An 18,039-nucleotide genomic window follows, 5' to 3' on the forward strand; every position below is an offset into this window, starting at 1 on the left:
TTGGGTTTGATTTTATTTGATGAGGACGTGGCATGTTTTGGGAAGTCAGCTCTGGGAAGTCACACTGGGCTGCTCCACTAAGCCATCCCATTTCCTTCCCTGGGGTCCAGCCAGGCGAGTGCCCTCGATGGCTCTGTGCACACAGAGGGTGCCCTGACTTAGAGACACATTTGCGTGTCCCCCGTGTCTGAGACACGGGCGGTGTTCCGAATCCACTTGCTGAGCATCCCCGGGTGCTGGGCAGAGGCCCTCGGGCTCTCTCCCTCTCTGTCTGCCTCAGACAAGGTGGAGCTCTGCCCTCCTGGCTCCGGAAAGACACCTCATATTCCCCAACCCACGTCTGTGCCTCTACCCGGGAACTGCCCCCTTCAACAGCCTTTCTGTTCCGCAGTTACTCACACGGATTCCTGTGCTGGGTGAACGACAATGGGCCACAACCCACCTAGTGCTTCCCGGGAGGAGCTGGCAGAGGGGCTCTGAGTCACCTGCAGGTCAGTTCACAGGAGGCTCAGCTCTTCCTACTCTGCTCAGGCCCCTCCTGGGAAGTGCACTCAGACCCCACGCCACTTCCTGGCTCTCTTCGGGGCAGAGGGGCCAGAGCACATGGGGACTAACGGGGTTTAAAGCTCTGGCTCTGCAGTCAGACGGATACAGGATACTGATGGCTACGGGCAGGGCCCGACTCTGTGCTTCCAGCGGCTGCGTGGCCTTGGCCTTGTTACTCACAGCGCTGAGACTCCTGAGGACAGAGGGAGCGAGGAGTCCGCTTTAAAGGGCTTTGTGAGATCTGAGTGTCTGCCAAGGGCCTGCCACAAGGAGGGAGCTCAGAACATGCAGACGGGACAATGATGACAATGATGCTGATGATGAAGGTGTTTGGAGCAGGGCTCTGCAGAAGTGGGAGGTGACCAGATGGCCCAGGAGCCTCTGGGAATGTTCTCAATGCCTGCCTCCAAGTCTGGCTACTGCCCCAGTTCAGGGGACTGTTCTGTAGTGAGTGACTTAGGCCTGCTGGACACGGGCCTTGGCAGGGATGGATCCCACCTAAGGAATATGAAAGAGCCAGGGAAATGGACTCCCTGGGCTGGTCAGAAGGTGGGGGAACTGCTGCTTCTAGCTGCCAAAGATAAGGTTCAGGGGCACCCCCTCTGCTACCTACTCAGACTGTCCACAATTTCCTCCAATTCCTGATGAAGCATCCACTAACCGCTGGTATTTGGGGGACATCCTCCCTGAGGAGGTCCATTTTTGAGCAGTTCCACTAAAAACAATGATCAAAAACTTACGATGTCAGGCCAGACACTGTGGCTGAAACCCAGCACTTTGGGAGGCCGAAGCGGAAGGATCTCCTGAGGTCAGGAGTTCGAGACCAGCCTGGCCAACATGGTGAAACCCTATCTCTACTAAAAATACAAAAATTAGCCAGGTGGGGTGGTACACGCCTGTAATCCCAGCTACTCAGGAGGCTGAGGCACAAGAATCGCTTGAACCTGGGAGGCGGAGGTTGTGGTGAGCTGAGATTGTGCCACTGCACTCCAGCCTGGGAGACAGAGTGAGACTCCGTCTCAAAAAATAAATAAATAAAAAGAAAACTTATTATGCCCATTTCTCATTTCATTATGTGGACAACTCTGCAACAAGCCTATTTTACAGACGAGGAAATGGAGGCTTAGAATTAAGGATTTGCACCTGTGGCAGAACTTGAGCTTGATCTTTTCCAGCTCCTCCTACTCAACCTCAGAATTGAGCTTCCCCTTTGGTAGAGACAGGGTTTCACCATGTTAGCCAGGCTCGAACTCCTGACCTCAAGTGATTCGCCTGCCTCAGCCTCCCAAAGTGCTGGATTATAGGTATGAGCCACCACGCCTGGCCGAGCTCTAACTTAAATCTCAATGAAATAACAGGAAAAAGATCCTCATGGTCATTGGAGCTCTCCCTACAGAATCTTGGTAAACTTTAAATGATCTTGCCTCTGGACGTTAACTAGGCTGTCCCCTCTACTGGAATTCCCTCCCAAGCTGGGAACATCCGAATTAGCCTTCAAGATTTTCTGTAGGTGTCCCTTCCTCCCCAAAGAGGCCAAATGAAGAAACCTTTGGAAGAAGCAGCAAACGGAATGGTCTGAACATGGAAACTCTCTTGCCGAACTTATAAGAGTAAAAGATAGTGGAAGGTCTTGGAGCTACTGGGGTTCCACAGCTCTCTCCCCGGCACCCATCCCGCCACTGCACACACCTTAAAGGCAGAGACGGTTGTTTGCTTCACTGTCCTTGATCCTGGTGCCTGGCACATAGTAGGTGCACAGGAAATGTTTGTTGAATAAATCCCTGGATGGGTGGGTGGAAGTGGACTGGCGTCCCAGCTCTGTTCCTGGCTGCCTCAGCCCTGCTGGCTTTTCCCAAAGCACAGAGGACAGTGCCCGTGTGATGTGGAGAAAGCTGGTGCACGCTGCTGTGTAAAAACCAGTTTATCAGAGGGCCCCCTCTAATCTGAGAGGAGTGCCTGTGGACAAATCAGTGGAAAGCCTCCATTCACGCAGAGGGAACATCTTTCTCCTGGCTGTGGGGTTTTCACACCCTCTATCTTTTCTACTCCCTATAGCAACCCAGTGAGGGAGGCAGGCTGAGTGTTTGATACCCATTTTACAGATGAGGAAACCCAGACCCTGAGAGGCTAACATAGAACTTGTGCAGTCACACAACTAGTAGCTGGTAAAACCCAGGGTCCTACACAATTATTACAATTAATATAATTATACAATTCATACCAATTAACTGTATTTCTTTTTCTTTCTCTTTTTTTCTTTTGTGACGGAGTCTCGCTTTGTCGCCCAAACTGAAGTGCAGTGGTGTGATCTCAGCTCACTGCAACCTCCTCCTCCTGGGTTCAAGCGATTCTCCTGCCTCAGCCTCCTGAGTAGCTGGGATTACAGGCATGCTCTACCATGCCCAGTAAATTTTTATATTTTCAGTAGAAATGGGGTTTCACCATGTTGGCCAGGCTGGTCTCGAACTCCTGGCTTCAAGTGATCTGTCCGCCTTGACCTCCCAAAATGCTGGGATTGCAGGTATGAACCACTGCGCCGGGCCAGTTAATTGTATTTCTAATTTGTAAAAAGAAGTACTAATTAGAGCTTCAGGCCTGGTGACTCCAAGCCCCTGTGCCTATCAGCATCCTGGGTGGCACAGGACAAACACCCCTGAATAGTCCGTGGAGGAAGGAGAGGGTGCTGTCTGGAGGAGATGGCCTGTCCCTCACCTGCCCCTGGTCTGCCACGCGCAAGCCCAGACCTCAGCTCCTTCTCCAGGCTAGACCCCCACTGTGCTTCTCTTTTTCTGAACTCCTGGGACGAAGCTTTCCCCTTCCCTTAAGATGCTCCAGGGTGGCTGGGCGCGGTGGGTCATGCCTGTAATCCCAGCACTTTGGGAGGCCAAGGTGGGTGGGTCATCTGAGGTCAGGAGTTCGAGACCAGCCTGATCAACATGGTGAAACCCCATCTCTACTTAAAAATACAAAAATTAGCCAGACGTGGTGATGCATGCCTGTGATACCAGCTACTCAGGAGGCTGAGGCAGGACAATTGCTTGAATCCAGGAGGCGGAGGTTGCAGTGAGCTGAGATTGCACCATTGCACTCCAACCTGGACAACAAGCGAGAAACTCTGTCTCAAAAAAAAAAAAAAAAAAAGATGCTCTAGGGTCAAGCTTCAAGCCTGACACATAGGTGTCCACTGGATTACTGAGCCCTGGATCCATGGCAGCTGCACTTGGTCTGACCCCGAGCAACTTGTCCTACAGACTGGAGCTTGAGTTCATGCCTGACTATTTCATGTTTGATCATCACAACTCTTTAATTATTTTTTGTATGTTCTTTTAATATTTTATTATAAAATAGCTTAAGTATATATAGGTATATATGTTTGCACACACTCATATATACACATACATATATAAAAACTCTCTTTTTTTTTTTGAGACAGGGTCTCACTCTCGCCCAGCCTGGAGTGCAGTGGTACAGTCACAGCTCATTGCAGCCTCCACCTCCTGGGCTCAGGTGAAACTCCCACCTGAGCCTCCCAAGTAGCTGGGACTACAGGTGCGCACCACCTCACCTGGTTAATTTTTGTATTTTTTGTAGAGACAGGGTTTCACCGTGTTGCCCAATGTGGTCTTGAGCTCCTGAGCTCAAGTGATCGATCCACCTGTCGCCCAAAGTACTGGGATTATAGGTCTGGGGTGGCCTAAAACCCCATTTTTTAAGTTGTAATATATCCACCTACTCTCTCTACTTTCTTTTTTTTTTTGAGACGGAGGCTCGCTTTGTCGCCCAGGCTGGAGTGCAGTGGTGCGATCTCTGCTCACTGCAAGCTCCGCCTCCCGGGTTCACGCCATTCCCCTGCCTCAGCCTCCAGAGTAGCTGGGACTACAGGCGCCCACCACCATGCCCGGCTAATTTTTTTGTATTTTTAGTAGAGACGGGGTTTCACCGTGTTAGCCAGGATGGTCTCGATCTCCTGACCTCGTGATCCGCCCGCCTCGGCCTCCCAAAGTGCTAGGATTACGGGCGTGAGCCACTGCGCCCGGCCTAATCTCTCTACTTTCAAAAAAGAAATATAGGCCAGGCGCAGTGGCTCACGCCTGTATTTTTTATATCTCAAAAAAGAAATATAGAGAGCAGTGGAGGGAGAGAGATAGTTTCCTATAGCTGCTGCAACCAACTACCACAAACTTAGTGGCTTAAAACAACATCAATCGATTATCTTACAGTTCTGATGTTGTGGACTCCAGAAGTCCAAAATGGGTCTTACTGGGGTAAAATCAATGTGTTGGCAAGATTGCATTGCATCTGGAGGTTTCAGGGGAGAAGCCATTCCTTGCCTTTTCCAGCCTTTCTTGGCTCACGGAATGCTTCCATGCTCACTCTGACCTGTGCTTCTGCACTCACGTCTCCAACAGCCAGAGCCCAGCACCAGATATGTGAGTGAGGCTGTCTTGGACAAGACAGCCTCCACTGAGCCATCGACTGATTGCTGTTGCATGGGTGAACCTGGTTAAGAGTAAAAGAACTGCCAGCCGATCCCACCCCAGAATGCTGACTCTCACTTGTGAGCTAATAAAGACTGTTGTTTTAAAACCTCTAAATTGGCCAGGCGCGGTGGCTCACGCCTGTAATCCCAGCACTTTGGGAGGCCGAGATGGGCGGATCACGAGGTCAGGAGATCGAGACCATCCTAGCTAACACGGTGAAACCCCGTCTCTACTAAAAAGTACAAAAAATTAGCCGGGCGTGGTGGCGGGCGCCTGTAGTCCCAGCTACTCGGGAGGCTGAGGCAGGAGAATGGCGTGAACCTGGGAGGCTGGAGCTTGCAGTGAGCCGAGATCGCACCACTGCACTCCAGCCTGGGCGACGGAGTGAGACTCCATCTTAAAAAACAAAAAAGCCTCTAAATTTGGCCATGGTCGTTTGTGCAACAATAGATAATGGACATAGGAACAGACACCAACAGCACCACCATTTTGTGCTCTTCTCTCCTTTTTTGCCTCGAGAGTGGATGTAATATGTGGAGCTGCAGCAGCCATCTTGCAACCTTGAGGGAAAGACCAACAGAATCATAGTATGATTGGCTTCGACGTCACTGTGCTGCCAAAAATGCAAGAACAGTTCTTCTGTTCTGAATTTCTTTCAATGTGAGAAAATAAACCCCTATTTATTATAATACTATAATTTCAGTTACTCGCAAACTAAAGAATTTCTAATGAATACATGGCAAGTTGCCAGGCCTCTGAGGCAGCTGGGAAAGGATCTTCAGTGGCCAGGAATTAAGAAGACAGAAATGATGTTTGATGAGGGAAATTTGTGACCTGGGTCCAGGGGGGTTCTGTTCCCTCTTCTGAACCTTGACATGCCTTCAGCACAAACATCCACAGCACATCCTTCCGGTGGAGAGAACTTGGAGCGGACTCCAGTGAAGAATGCCTGGAAACGCACCTAAGTCCACCCTCACTGATAGGACTCAGAGCGCTTGTCCCTCTGCCATGTCTTCTGTGAAGGGAAGTGACTCACGGCAGTTATGAAACTCCAAGGCCAATGTGTATTTACATTTTTGCCCTCTCACTACCCTGGCCAGGAAGATTTCCAGCTTGAGGTAATTCTCCCAAGGGAATCTTTGCGGGGAGGGAGGAGTGGCTGAAGGGGGTGGGATTGAACGCAAGGTAGAGTGAATAGAGCACAAAGGTGAAGGCCAGTGGGTGCTACAGAAGGAAATATCCCAGAGCCGGCCCAGGGCCAGCCTGGGTCCCCTTACTGTGATTCCTTCTCCTTTCTGGAAGATTCCAATTCAATCTGTGGAGGGAGAGCTCTCCTGCACTTCCCCTCAACCACACCCTCCCCCATCCCCCTAAATGTGCTGTTTCCTTTAATTTACAAAAGCTCTTTTTTTCTGAGACAGAGTCTCTCTCTGTTGCCCAGGCTGGAGCGCAGTGGCACAATCTCGGCTCACTGCAACCTCCGTCTCCCAGGTTCAGGCGATTCTCCTGCCTCAGCCTCCCGAGTAGCTGTGATTACAAGTGTGTGCCACCACACGTGGCTCATTTTTGTATTTTTAGTAGAGATGGGTTATCACCATGTTGGCCAGGCTGGTCTTGAACTCCTGACCTCAAGAGATCCGCCCACCTCGGCCTCCAAAAGTGCTGGGATTACAGGCATGAACCACCACACCGAACCTACAAAAGCTCTTTTCTGGCCGGGCGTGGTGACTCAGCCTGTCTTTGGGAGACTGAGGCAGGTGGATCACGAGGTTGGGAGTTCAAGGCCAGCCTGGCCAAGATGGTGAAACCCCATCTCTACTAAAAATACAACAATTAGCCGGGCATGGTGGCAGGTGCCTGTAACTCCAGATAGTCGGGAGGCTGAGGCAGGTAATTGCTTGAACCCAGGAGGCAGAGGTTGCAGTGAGCTGAGATCATGCTACTGCACTCCAGCCTGGGCGACAGAGCTAGACTCCGTCTCAAACAAACAAAAACAACAACAACAAAAAACAAAAACAAAAACAAAAGCTCTTTTCTTATCCATTTTGCAGGCAATATTAAGGGCTGATATTGATTAACTGTTTACCATAAGCCAGGCGTACGCTAAGAGCCTTACTTGCATTAGTTAAGAAAATCCTCACAACAAGCCTATAGGTGGGTTTTAAAAGGGTCATTTGACAGATAAGGAACCTGAGCCACAGAGAAGTTAAGCGACTTGTCTAAGGTCACACAGCTTAGCCTGTAAGTAGTGCAGCCAGGATTACAACCCAGCCATTCTGACTTCAGAGTGGAAACTCTTAACTATCTCCCTGTCCCCTGTGTGGAGGAGGAAGGCCCAGAAAGGTTAAGTGACTTGCCTGATGCTGCAGAGCCATGATTTGCAGTTGGGTCAGTGTGGCTACAGGCCCCTTGCACTTGCTCTCTTCCTGTCACCTCTGCCATTCTCTCGCCCCTCCTAATAGCATCACCCATTGTCTCCAGTGTAGGGCCCTAACTGTGGAGAAATGAGCACTAGACCAGGAGTCTGAAAGTCAGAATCCTTTACTTATCCAGCGACCTCGAACAAATCAGTGTTCTCATCTGTGAACTGAGACTTGGGTTTGCTCCTCCCACCTGAGAGGACCTTGTGGAGCAAATGGGATTAGGGGCATGAAGAGCTGGATCCTCATGGGGTTATTGTTGGTGCTCCCTTTGTTTCTCTGACGCCTAGCCTTGGGGTAACTGTTCTTCCCTGTGGTTTGACCTGGAGGGCTGTGTTCTGGCAGCTGGGTGAGTTTGGGATTTCCTGGTGCCACTTAGAATTACCAACCTCCATAAAACGCTCAGGGATGCAAGGGTTTTGCAATCAGTTATTGCATCAGGAAAACTCTCTGAATAGCCTCATTCTACCCTCTTGCCCGCCCAGGTGCCGGCTTAGCCAACGGGAGGTTGGGCACCGAGGGGAAGGACAGAGATTTCCTTTCCTATCACGCAGACAGTGCCTGTGGCAGGAACTTCGGGACCTTGGATCTACCCCAAACACTGCTGGGGAAAGTGCTAGTCCTCTGGAGGGGTAGGGAGAGACCAGGAACCAAAGGAAGACTGGGGAGTGAAGTAGGGAGGGGGGTGCCTGAATGAGTTGGGCAGCAGCTCTCCTGCCCACCCCTCCAACCCCAAGTAGCTCTCAGTCCTGCCCTGCCGCTGTAACACAGCACACAATGCATCCCCTCCTGGAGCCTGGGGTTCCTCATCTGCAGAGTGGGAACCATAGTTTATCCCTATGTCATAGAGCGGTGATGAGGATTGAATCAGCCCACGCGCATGTACATCCTCACTTCCAAAATTAAGTCCTCAGGTCAGGCATGGTGGCTCATGCCTGTAATCTCAGCACTTTGGGAAGCCGAGGTGGATGGATCACTTGAGGTCAGGAGTTCGAGACCATCCTGGCCAACATGGTGAAACCCTGTCTCTACTAAAAATACAAAAATTAGCCAGGCATGGTGGCACACGCCTGTAGTTCCAGCTACTCGGGAGGCTGAGGTGGGAGGATCACTTGAACCCAGGAGGCAGGGGTTGCAGTGAGCCGAGATTGTGCCACTGCACTCCAGCCTGGGTGACAGAGTGAGACTCTGTCTCAAAAAATATATATAAAAAACAGAATAAATGAAAGAAAATTAAGTTCTTAGTAAACACTAGCCATGGTCATTATTATTATTATTCTGTGACTCCAAGTGTCATATGTGACCCCGGAAGCACCGTGGAAATCCCACGCCTGCCACCGCAACCTTGAAACCATTTCTCTGACCTCTCTAAACCTCATCTTTGTGACGAGACTACGCCCACTAAGTCCGTGGGGCAGTGGTGTGAATTCAATGAAAATCGAGTCTGGAGGACCCAGCCCAGTGCGGGGTGCAGAGGAAGTGCCCGTCAATGGTGGCCTTTATCCTGACTCCAGCTTGGATGGGACTCTGAGGGAAGCTGAGCTCTGGAGCTCCAGGAACAGAGGAAGCGATTGTGCAGAGGTGAAGGGGGGAGGGCCCCTCCTGGAGAGGGCAGTGAGAGTTGAGCAGAGTCCTACTTCCACTTATTATCCACGGTGGCATTCATCCTCCCAGCCTGGGAACAAGTGAAGGAGGGGATCTTTCCAGGACCTGGCACCCCCAAGATTTTCCCATGCCCTCTGTTTGCACACAGGTTCCCACCCAGGGGCCATAACATATTTTTAACCCTCTCCTACCCTGTGAGCCATTTTCTCATAAACATCATTTGAGATGTGAGCTCAGAATAGATGATAAGAGACTGGCCGTTGTCACCACTGAAGGCAATGAAGAGGTGCCCCCTAGGCAGCGGTGTGTGTGCTGGAGCTGCCCAACTCTGTGCACACTGACCTCACGTGAGCAGATTCAAATGGGCCAGGGTGGGAGCATTTACACCGTGGAAATCGGCAAACACTGCCACCAGAATCAACTGTTCCCACATTCACCAGCACACCCCTGCTCCCAAGAACTTGGAAATGAGGCTGCTGTCAGAGTTAAAGCAGAAATTCCACCCCCAGGGCATGTGATTGGCCTTTGGTGGGGGAAACCAGGGGGCTGACCATAGGGTGAGACATGGGTTGTGAGAGCACCCCAAGCTCTTAACTCCTATCAAGGTAAACCAGAGCAACTCCTAGATAAAGAACTGGAGAGTGGGCCGGGCGCAGTGGCTCATGCCTGTCATTCCAGCACTTTTGGAGGCTGAGGCGGGTGGATCACCTGAGGCCAGAAGTTTGAGACCATCCTGGCCAACATGGTGGAACTCTGTTTTTACTAAAAGTAAAACAATACAAAAATTAGCTGGGCATGGTGGCAGATACCTGTAATCCCAGCTACTAGAGACGGAATGGCTTGAACCCGGGAGGCAGAGGCTGCAGTGAGTTTTGCTCTTGTTGCCCAGGCTGGAGTGCAATGGCGTGATCTCGGCTCACCGCAACCTCCGGCTCCCAGGTTCAAGAGAGTCTCCTGCCTCAGCCTCCCCAGTAGCTGGGATTACAGGCGCCCACCACCATGCCAGGCTGATTTTTTGTATTTTTAGTAGAGACAGGATTTCTCCATGTTGCCCAGACTGGTCTCAAACTCCAGGACTCAAGCGTTCCGCCCGCCTCGGCCTCCCAAAGTGCTGGGATTACAGGCGTAGAGCCGCCACACCTGGCCAGGGTTGGTTAATTCTCAGGTCTCTCTTCTTGGCTTGTTGGTGGCATCTTCTCCCTGTGTCCTCCCAGGGTCATCCCTCAGTGTGTGTTGTTGTCTGTGTCCTAATCACCCTTTTTTTTTCTTTTTTTTTTTTTTTTACTAAGGACATCAGTCAGATTAGATTAGGGCCCACCCAGATGACCTCATTTTACTTTACCTCTTTGAAGGCCCTATCTCCAAATGTAGTCACCCTGGGGCTTAGGACTTCACCATATGAATGTCGGGGCGGGGCACGATTCAGCCCATTGCTCCAGTAACTGGCTCAGACATGGGCATGTGACCCACATCTGGCCAAAGTGCTGGGATTACAGGTGTGAGCAGTGGGAAGGTTTTGGCTCACTGCAGCCTCCGCCTCCCGGGTTCAAGCCATTCTCCCGCCTCAGCCTCTCTAGTAGCTGGGATTACAGGTGCCCACCACCATGCCCGGCTAATTTTGTCCGCTGGAGGGGAGTGCTGGCTTGCCTCTGGGGAAACTCTTCTTTCCTAAGGGAAAGCACAGAAAGAGCGCTCTCCTCCTTCTTTGAATGTTGTCATGTTGAGATTTGATACTGGACCCACTGCAGCCAAGCTGAGGCCTGCCTGAGTGGGGAGCTGACCCACTGGAGATGAGGTGGTGAATTAGTAGACCCTGAAGCCTCCTCCAAGCTGTCCTGTGGGTTTAAGCTGGTTTAAATGAAGGTTTTTTTTTTTTTTTTTTTTTTTTTGACAGAGTCTCACTCTGTTGTGCAGGCTGGAGTGCAATGACATTCACTCCACCTCCTGGGTTCAAGCGATTCTCCTGCCTCAACCTCCTGAGTAGCTGGGACCACAGGCGCGCACCACCACGCCTGGCTAATTTTTGTATTTTTAGTAGAGACGGGATTTCACCATGTTGTCCGGGCTGGTCTTGAATTGCTGAGCTCAGGCAATCCGCCCCACCTCGGCCTCCTGAAGTGCTGGAATTACAGGCATGAGCCCCCGGGCCTGGCCCTTTAAGTGGAGGTTTTGGTTACACCTGCAAACATCACAACTGCCATCGGAAGCAGAGACAGGTAGGGGTCCACCTACACCTGCTCTCTGCATCTTCCTGGGCTCACTTCCCAGCTGGCCTTTTCATTGGATGAGAAATGTAAATGTGAGTGGAGGCTGTCCGTGCCATTGCCAGGCCAAGTGGGCGTGCCTCCCTCATGCTCTCGTCCTCTGCCAGCCAACTGGGACCTGGATGTGGCTGAGACCTGGGCTTGATGGTGCGAATGGGATGCTGGAGCCATAACATGGAAAGAGACTACATCCCTAAATTCCAGCAATTGGGAATGGTCCCCTCAGAAAGTGACAGGGGGGTGAAACAGACTTTTGCATCCCTTAAACCACTTTTTTGGGGGCTTTCTTTGTTACCGCAGCAGAGCTGTGCTTTAACTAATACACCATCTGTGCTCTGTAGAGTGGAGGGATTCTTGCCAGCGCTAACTTAGCCAGAACTGTATCCTAGGATGACTTTCCCTTTAGAGACAGAGATGGCTTCAAGCTACCCTGGCTACAAAATACTTCCCAATATCCGCCACATTTGCAGATTCCGTTGGTACAATTAACTTTCTGATAATGTGGCTTCCTGTGGGTGGCTCATCTGGGCAAAGTGAATGTTTTCATTGATCGGCTGATGCGTACATCCTGGCCTGCCGGATGGCTGCCTGTCTCAATGCGATTCTTGCTGTCTATCAAATTCCAGGAGCTGGTTCAAGTGAATCTTTCTTGGACATGGCTCCACTCTCAACAACGACAACCTCACGTTCCAGGGGCTGGTCCATGGGGGGCTTTCTGGCAGAACTGACCTCTCTTGTGTCCCTCTTCTGGGATCCATTTCATTCTTCTCATCCTACGATTCTCTGTGCCCTTCCTTTTCCATTCCGGCATGAGTTCACAGAGAACAGGGCTGCTGTTTACTTCTCTACTGCCGGTGTGGAATATGATGCTTGGCACACAATAGAAGCTCAATAAATGTGGGCCAAAGGACAAATGACTCTGGCCCAAGGACAAGGATCCCTTCCAGAGCCCGGTCCAGGTTTGTCCCAATACACAAAAGGTCTTATACAAACAAGTTTTGATCAATTGAATTGTGTTGTATGTGAGCTAGGTAAGCCCTCCCTCCAACCCACGGGTGAGGCCATATGTAATCTCACTTAAGCAGTGCTTAGGCAGAGGCTCTTGCGGGGCAGTTTCCTAAGGAGTGGAGCAAAGAGAAAGCAAGCCTGGGAAGGAAGTGGAGAGAGGGGAGAGGGAAATACAAGTGTCTTGCTATGGGCCAACCTGGGGTTTGCTTGAATCCTGACTTCCAGTCTTTTATTTGTATTTATTTATTTTTTGAAACAGGGTCTTGCTATTGCCCAGGCTGGAGTGCAGTAGCATGATCATGGCTCACTGCATCCTCGACCTCCCAGGCTCAACTGATCCTCCCACCCTAGCCTCCTGAGTAGCTGGGACTACAGGCGTGTGCCACCACGCCCTGCTAATTTTTAATTTTTTTGTAGCAACGGGGGAGGGGGGGGTCTCACTATGTTGCCCAGGTTGGTCTTAAACTCCTGGACTTGAGGGATCCTCTCGCCTCAGCCTCCCAAAGTGCTGGGATTACAGTATGAGCCACTGCGTCCGGCCCACTGGCTCCCAGTCTTTTTAGCTGTGTGACCTTGAGAAAGTGACTCAGCCTCTCTGAGCCTCCCTTTCCTCAGCTGGAAAATGGAGATAATAGTAACCACTTGCAGGGCTGTTTCGAGGATGGATGAGATAATGTATACAAAGTACAGCAAGTGACATTGAGTCAGTGCTCAGCATCGGTGGGTTCCTTTCCTCAACAAAGACAAATAATCTATGACCACACATCCTCCCAACGAAGGAGGCTGCCTGAACCCACAGGCTGTGTGGACAACTCCACCTCTGCATTCTTTCACAGAAAGCCAGATTTTTGTCTACCAGGTTTGCATAAAGTGAGGTATAGCGTCTGTGAACACAGTCTGTGGCTTCTGAGCTCACAGTGGCCATTACTCAACCCAGAGGAGAAAAGACTTCTATGCCTCAGACGCTTGGTGATCTGGCATGATTTGGCCCTGGCCCACTTCATCTTTCAGTTCACGGTCTGCAGCACTCCTCACGAATATTGCAGAAGAGCCACTGGCTGAGAGTATTTTTAAATGGAAACCCCAGAAACCAAACGGTCCTGTGCTTGGGGCTAGCTTTGTTCAAGAATGAAAGGAGACAGTCTTGGCGGGCTGAGTGAGGGAAAATGGTCTGTTTGAAGGGGAAAGATGAATTACTTCAAAATAGCCTGCAGAACTTGGATCAGATCATGGTAAGGTGGGGACTTCTTCTTCTTCTTCTTTTTTTTTTTTAATAAGAAAAAGGAAAAAACAACTTGTGGATATGCGTGTGTGTATGTATATGTTTTTTGTTTGTTTTCTGTTTTGTTATATTTATTTATTTATTTAGTTTTGAGACGGAGTCTCACTGTGTCACCAGGGCTGGAGTGCAGTGGCCTGATCTCGGCTCACTGCAACCTCCGCCTCCTGGGTTCAAGCGATTCTCCTGCCTCAGCCTCATGAGTAGCTGGGATTACAGGCACCCGCCACTATGCCCAGCTAATTTTTTGTATTTTTAGTTGAGACGGGGTTTCACCATGTTGGCCAGGATGGTCTCGAACTCCTGACCTCGTGATTCACCTGCCTCGGCCTCCCAAAGTGCTGGGATTACAGGCGTGAGCCACTGTGCCTGGCCACTTTTTTTTTTAGGCAGAGTCTCACTCTGTCTTCAGGCTGAAGTGCAGTGGCATGATGATCTCGGCTCACTGCAACCTCCGCCTCCCGGGTTCAAGTGATTCTCCTGCCTCAGCCTCCCAAGTAGCTGGGACTACTGGTGTGCACCACCACACCTAGCTAATTTTTGTATTTTTAGTAGAGACGGGGTTTCACCATGTTGGGCAGGATGGTCTCGATCTCTTGGCCTTGTGATCCGCCCACCTTGGCCTCCCAAAGTGCTGGGATTACAGGTGTGAGCCACCGCGCCTGGCAATGTCTATGTTTTTGGTGAGTGCTTTCTGTACCGAGATGACTCACTGGTGCAGCAGAGCTTGTAAGGTCTGAGCACAGGGACCTTCCTGAGACTTGGGAGATGCTCACTGGGATTGCAGGGCAATTGTATGAGTGTTTAGAAAATGACTTTTTTCCTTTCAGCTCAGCTCACACTGATCCATGCAGGACAGAAGAGGGCATCTCGGGTCGGCAGGGCCCTCTTGCATGTGGTTGTACAGGGCTGAAATCCAGCCTGCTCTCCGCTGGCCAAGCCCTCTGCTCTGCTGTGGGGGCTACCTGTGCCCTGCTGCAACCCATCCAGAGGGTAGGGCACCCTTTTCTAGCTAGCACTGAAAGGTGTCCTATGGGCTGAAGAGGCTCTGCCTGTTGGACTTCCTGACTCATCTGGAACAGTTCCAGAATGTTGTTCTGGTTGTCTATGGCTAGAAGTGTAACAAACCACTCCTAAACTTGGGGCATAAAGCCGTTCTGTGGGTCAGGCCACACAGGACAAGGGGCGGGGGAGCCCGGGGTGGGGTGAGGATGGCGCTTGTCTGCTCTGTGGTATCTGAAGCTGGAGCATTCACCCCTAGGGTGGCTTCCTCACCCCCTGTGTGGTACCTGGGCTGGGACAGCTGTGGGACGGGCTCAGCTGAGTCTGTCATCTGGAGGGGCTCCCTGTGGCCTCTCCAGCATCATGTTCTCAGGGGAGAGGGGATTCTTACCTGGCTGCTCAGAGCTGCAACTGCCAGTGTCCAATGGAACCAGGCAGAGGCTGCATGGTTTTTATGACCCAAGCTGGAAAGTCTCAGAGTGTCACTTTCATTGTGACATTGGTTAAGGCAGTCATAAGGCCACCCAGATTCAAGAGACTCCCGCCTTTTGATGGGAAAAGTGGCAAAGAATTTGCAACAGTATTTTTAAAACTATCACAGTGGGGCTGGGCACGGTGGCTCACGCCTGTAATCTCAGCACTTTGGGAGGCCGAGGCAAGAGGATCACTTGAGGTCAGGAGTTCAAGACCAGCCTGGCCAACATGGTGAAACCCCATCTCTACTAAAAATACAAAATATTAGCCAGGTGTGCTGGGATGTGCCTGTAGTCCTAGTTACTTGGGAGGCTGAAAGGGAAGGATCGCTTGAACCTGGGACACAGAGGTTGCAGTGAGCTAAGATTGTGCCACTGCACTCCAGCTTGGGCAACAGAGCAAGATCCTGTCTCAATAAATAAATAAATAAATAAATAAAAAATAAAATGATCACAGGGGTCTTCTGGGTGGGGCAGATAGGAAGAAAGGAGGCACCCCTTATACCTAAAACACCCTGCTCCCCTTTTGTCCTCTCCCTTGGTTGGGGGACATCTGTTTCCAGGCTCTGGACCCCTTTTCTGCTATCTGGAGGGTCTCCCAGGAAGGGAGGGTCTCAGGGGAGCATTTTTGGGGAGTAAACTCAAAGGTCTCCAGGGTCCAGGCTGCTAACCTAAATGTGATGTGGTGGATGTTAGACAGTAAGGAGTGGTGGGGGCTGTGGTGAACTAGACAGTGCATGCCTCACTCCCCAAAGAATTGCCAACACTGAGATGGGCTAACAAACGTGGCCTAAGACTGGATTTGCCCTGTGGGTTCCTGGCTCATGATTCCTGATATTAAATAAAAGAATTAGTGTCAGAGATGAATGGGACCTCAGAGATCACCGAAACCACTAAGGTCAGTGGTTTTCATTTTTTTACTCAGGAGCGGTGGAAGCCTTTTCTCCAGCAAGATCTTACAGAACAAGCATCATCTAGAACATTTGGCGAAAGCTGGCATGGGTAGCTCAGAGACTCACATTAGCTACCCGCTCTCTCCCCAGATGCCACCATAGTAACCTTAAGGTTGCAGGGAACTCAGCGTGAACATCACCAGTTCAACAGCTTCATTCAAAAAGGAGAAAAACAGCTGGGAGCAGTGACTCACACCTGTAATCCCAGCACTTTGGGAGGCCGAGGCAGGTAGATCACCTGAGGCAGGAGTTCGAGACCAGCCTGGCCAACATGGTGAAACCCCTTCTCTACTAAAAATACAAAAAATTAGCTGGGCATGGTGGCGAGCGCCTGTAATCCCAGCTACTAGGGAGGCTGAGGCAGGAGAATCGCTTGAACCCGGTAGGCGGAGGTTGCAGTGAGCTGAGATCGCGTCACTGCACTCCAGCCTGGGCAACAAGAGTGAAACTCCGTCTCAAAAAAAAAAAAAAAAGAAAGAAAGAAAGAAAGTTGCAGCAAAATAACTCAGAAAGACATGAAGGGTGTGTCAGCATTTGACCCAAGGCAGGCAGGCATGGTGCTATGTTTGCCCCTGGATCCAGGAAACCCCCAGCTCTGACCTTCAGAAGCTTCCAGTCTGGCCACCCCTACAATGCCTGCAAACACTGGACCAGCCATGCATGGAGACAAGTGATAGACTGTCCATGGCCCTCCAAGTCCAGCTCTTCTAGGAGGTCTCTCCTGATCCTTCCTTCTTCTCCCTGCTAAGTGATTCTCTTCCTTCTCAGCACTAGACTGTAGGTAGCTATTTGTCTATGTTTCTGTTAATGTGCCTTTCTCACTATGGCTCGTTCCTTGGAGGGCAGGGATTGTACTAATTACAGATCTGATCAAGAAGAACATTTTACAAGGGTCAGGAGTGGTGGCTCACACCTGTAATCTCAACACTTTGGGAGGCTGAGGTGGGCGGATTGCTTGAGTCCAGGAGTTCAAGACCAGCCTGGACAACATGGCAAAAACCCATCTTTACTAAAAATACAAAAAATAGCTGGGCATGCTGGCGCACGCCTGTAATCCCAGCTACTCGGGAGGCTGAGGCAGGACAATCGCTTGAAACCGGAAGGCAGAGGTTGCAGGGAGCTGAGATCTCATCACAGCACTCCAGCCGAGGTGACAGGGTGAGACCCTGCCACACACACAAAAAAAACAAAAACAAGCAAACAAAAAACATTTTACGCTGGGCGTGGTGGCTCATGCCTGTAATCCCAGCACTTTGGGAGGCTGAGGTGGGCGGATCATGAGGTCAGGAGATCGAGACCATCCTGGCTAATGCGGTGAAACCCCATCTCTACTAAAAATACAAAAAATTAGCCGGGCATGGCGGCTCGTGCCTGTAGTCCCAGCTACTTGGGAGGCTGAGGCAGGAGACTTGCTTGAACCCAGGAGGCAGAGGTTGCAGTGAGCCGAGATCGGGCCATTGCACTCCAGCCTGGGCGACAGAGCAAGACCTCGTCTCAAAAAAAAAAAACAAACAAAAAACATTTTACAAGTAAGAGACCGTAACGTGCATGTGAGGAGGGAGGAGAGAGGGCCTTGGCAAAGTGCTCTGGAATCCCTCCTGGCAAACCAGTACCTCCCTTAGACCTGGACAATCCAGGCCCTCGCTGGTCCTCCAGGAGTATCCTTTCCACTGAGCAAGGGCCGGGGCCTACACAGAGCCTGTGCCTGCCCTTCCAGACCCAATTCCAGGTACCTAGGACCCTGGGATTCCCTGCCCTAATGGTTTGGAACATGCGTTTGGGACTCAGGAGTCTTTTTCCTGGGTCCCATTTTCCCAAGACAACCTGTTGACTCTGCTGTGTGGACCTCTAGGCCTATGGGTGGTCAAGGAAGGGCCAAGGGGTGTGTGTGGGGTGTGTGTGTGGGGTGTGTGTGGGGTGTGTGTGGGGTGTGTGTGGGGTGTGTGTGGGGTGTGTGTGGTGTGTGTGTGGGGTGTGTGTGGGGTGTGTGTGTGGGGTGTGTGTGTGG

The 18,039-nt window shown here is 51.0% G+C and overlaps 7 annotated features.

Moving 5' to 3' along the window:
- Positions 16-703: an enhancer, noted in NCBI's record as "H3K27ac-H3K4me1 hESC enhancer chr8:126416953-126417640 (GRCh37/hg19 assembly coordinates)". NCBI's record gives its function as "activates a minimal SCP1, AML or CMV promoter by ChIP-STARR-seq in primed H9 embryonic stem cells {active_cell/tissue: H9 hESC(primed)}" and the evidence as "EXISTENCE:reporter gene assay evidence [ECO:0000049][PMID:30033119]".
- Positions 704-1,390: an enhancer, noted in NCBI's record as "H3K27ac-H3K4me1 hESC enhancer chr8:126417641-126418327 (GRCh37/hg19 assembly coordinates)". NCBI's record gives its function as "activates a minimal SCP1, AML or CMV promoter by ChIP-STARR-seq in naive H9 embryonic stem cells {active_cell/tissue: H9 hESC(naive)}" and the evidence as "EXISTENCE:reporter gene assay evidence [ECO:0000049][PMID:30033119]".
- Positions 10,360-11,257: an enhancer, noted in NCBI's record as "OCT4-NANOG-H3K27ac-H3K4me1 hESC enhancer chr8:126427297-126428194 (GRCh37/hg19 assembly coordinates)". NCBI's record gives its function as "activates a minimal SCP1, AML or CMV promoter by ChIP-STARR-seq in naive and primed H9 embryonic stem cells {active_cell/tissue: H9 hESC(naive and primed)}" and the evidence as "EXISTENCE:reporter gene assay evidence [ECO:0000049][PMID:30033119]".
- Positions 11,258-12,155: an enhancer, noted in NCBI's record as "OCT4-NANOG-H3K27ac-H3K4me1 hESC enhancer chr8:126428195-126429092 (GRCh37/hg19 assembly coordinates)". NCBI's record gives its function as "activates a minimal SCP1, AML or CMV promoter by ChIP-STARR-seq in naive H9 embryonic stem cells {active_cell/tissue: H9 hESC(naive)}" and the evidence as "EXISTENCE:reporter gene assay evidence [ECO:0000049][PMID:30033119]".
- Positions 13,368-13,417: an enhancer, noted in NCBI's record as "active region_27913". NCBI's record gives its function as "activates an Ori minimal core promoter by ATAC-STARR-seq in GM12878 lymphoblastoid cells {active_cell/tissue: GM12878}" and the evidence as "EXISTENCE:reporter gene assay evidence [ECO:0000049][PMID:35858748]".
- Positions 16,660-17,161: an enhancer, noted in NCBI's record as "H3K27ac hESC enhancer chr8:126433597-126434098 (GRCh37/hg19 assembly coordinates)". NCBI's record gives its function as "activates a minimal SCP1, AML or CMV promoter by ChIP-STARR-seq in naive H9 embryonic stem cells {active_cell/tissue: H9 hESC(naive)}" and the evidence as "EXISTENCE:reporter gene assay evidence [ECO:0000049][PMID:30033119]".
- Positions 17,162-17,661: an enhancer, noted in NCBI's record as "H3K27ac hESC enhancer chr8:126434099-126434598 (GRCh37/hg19 assembly coordinates)". NCBI's record gives its function as "activates a minimal SCP1, AML or CMV promoter by ChIP-STARR-seq in naive H9 embryonic stem cells {active_cell/tissue: H9 hESC(naive)}" and the evidence as "EXISTENCE:reporter gene assay evidence [ECO:0000049][PMID:30033119]".

The sequence above is a fragment of the Homo sapiens genome, chromosome 8, assembly GCF_000001405.40.
Source record: "Homo sapiens chromosome 8, GRCh38.p14 Primary Assembly".
In the NCBI taxonomy this organism is placed as follows: Eukaryota; Metazoa; Chordata; class Mammalia; order Primates; family Hominidae; genus Homo; species Homo sapiens.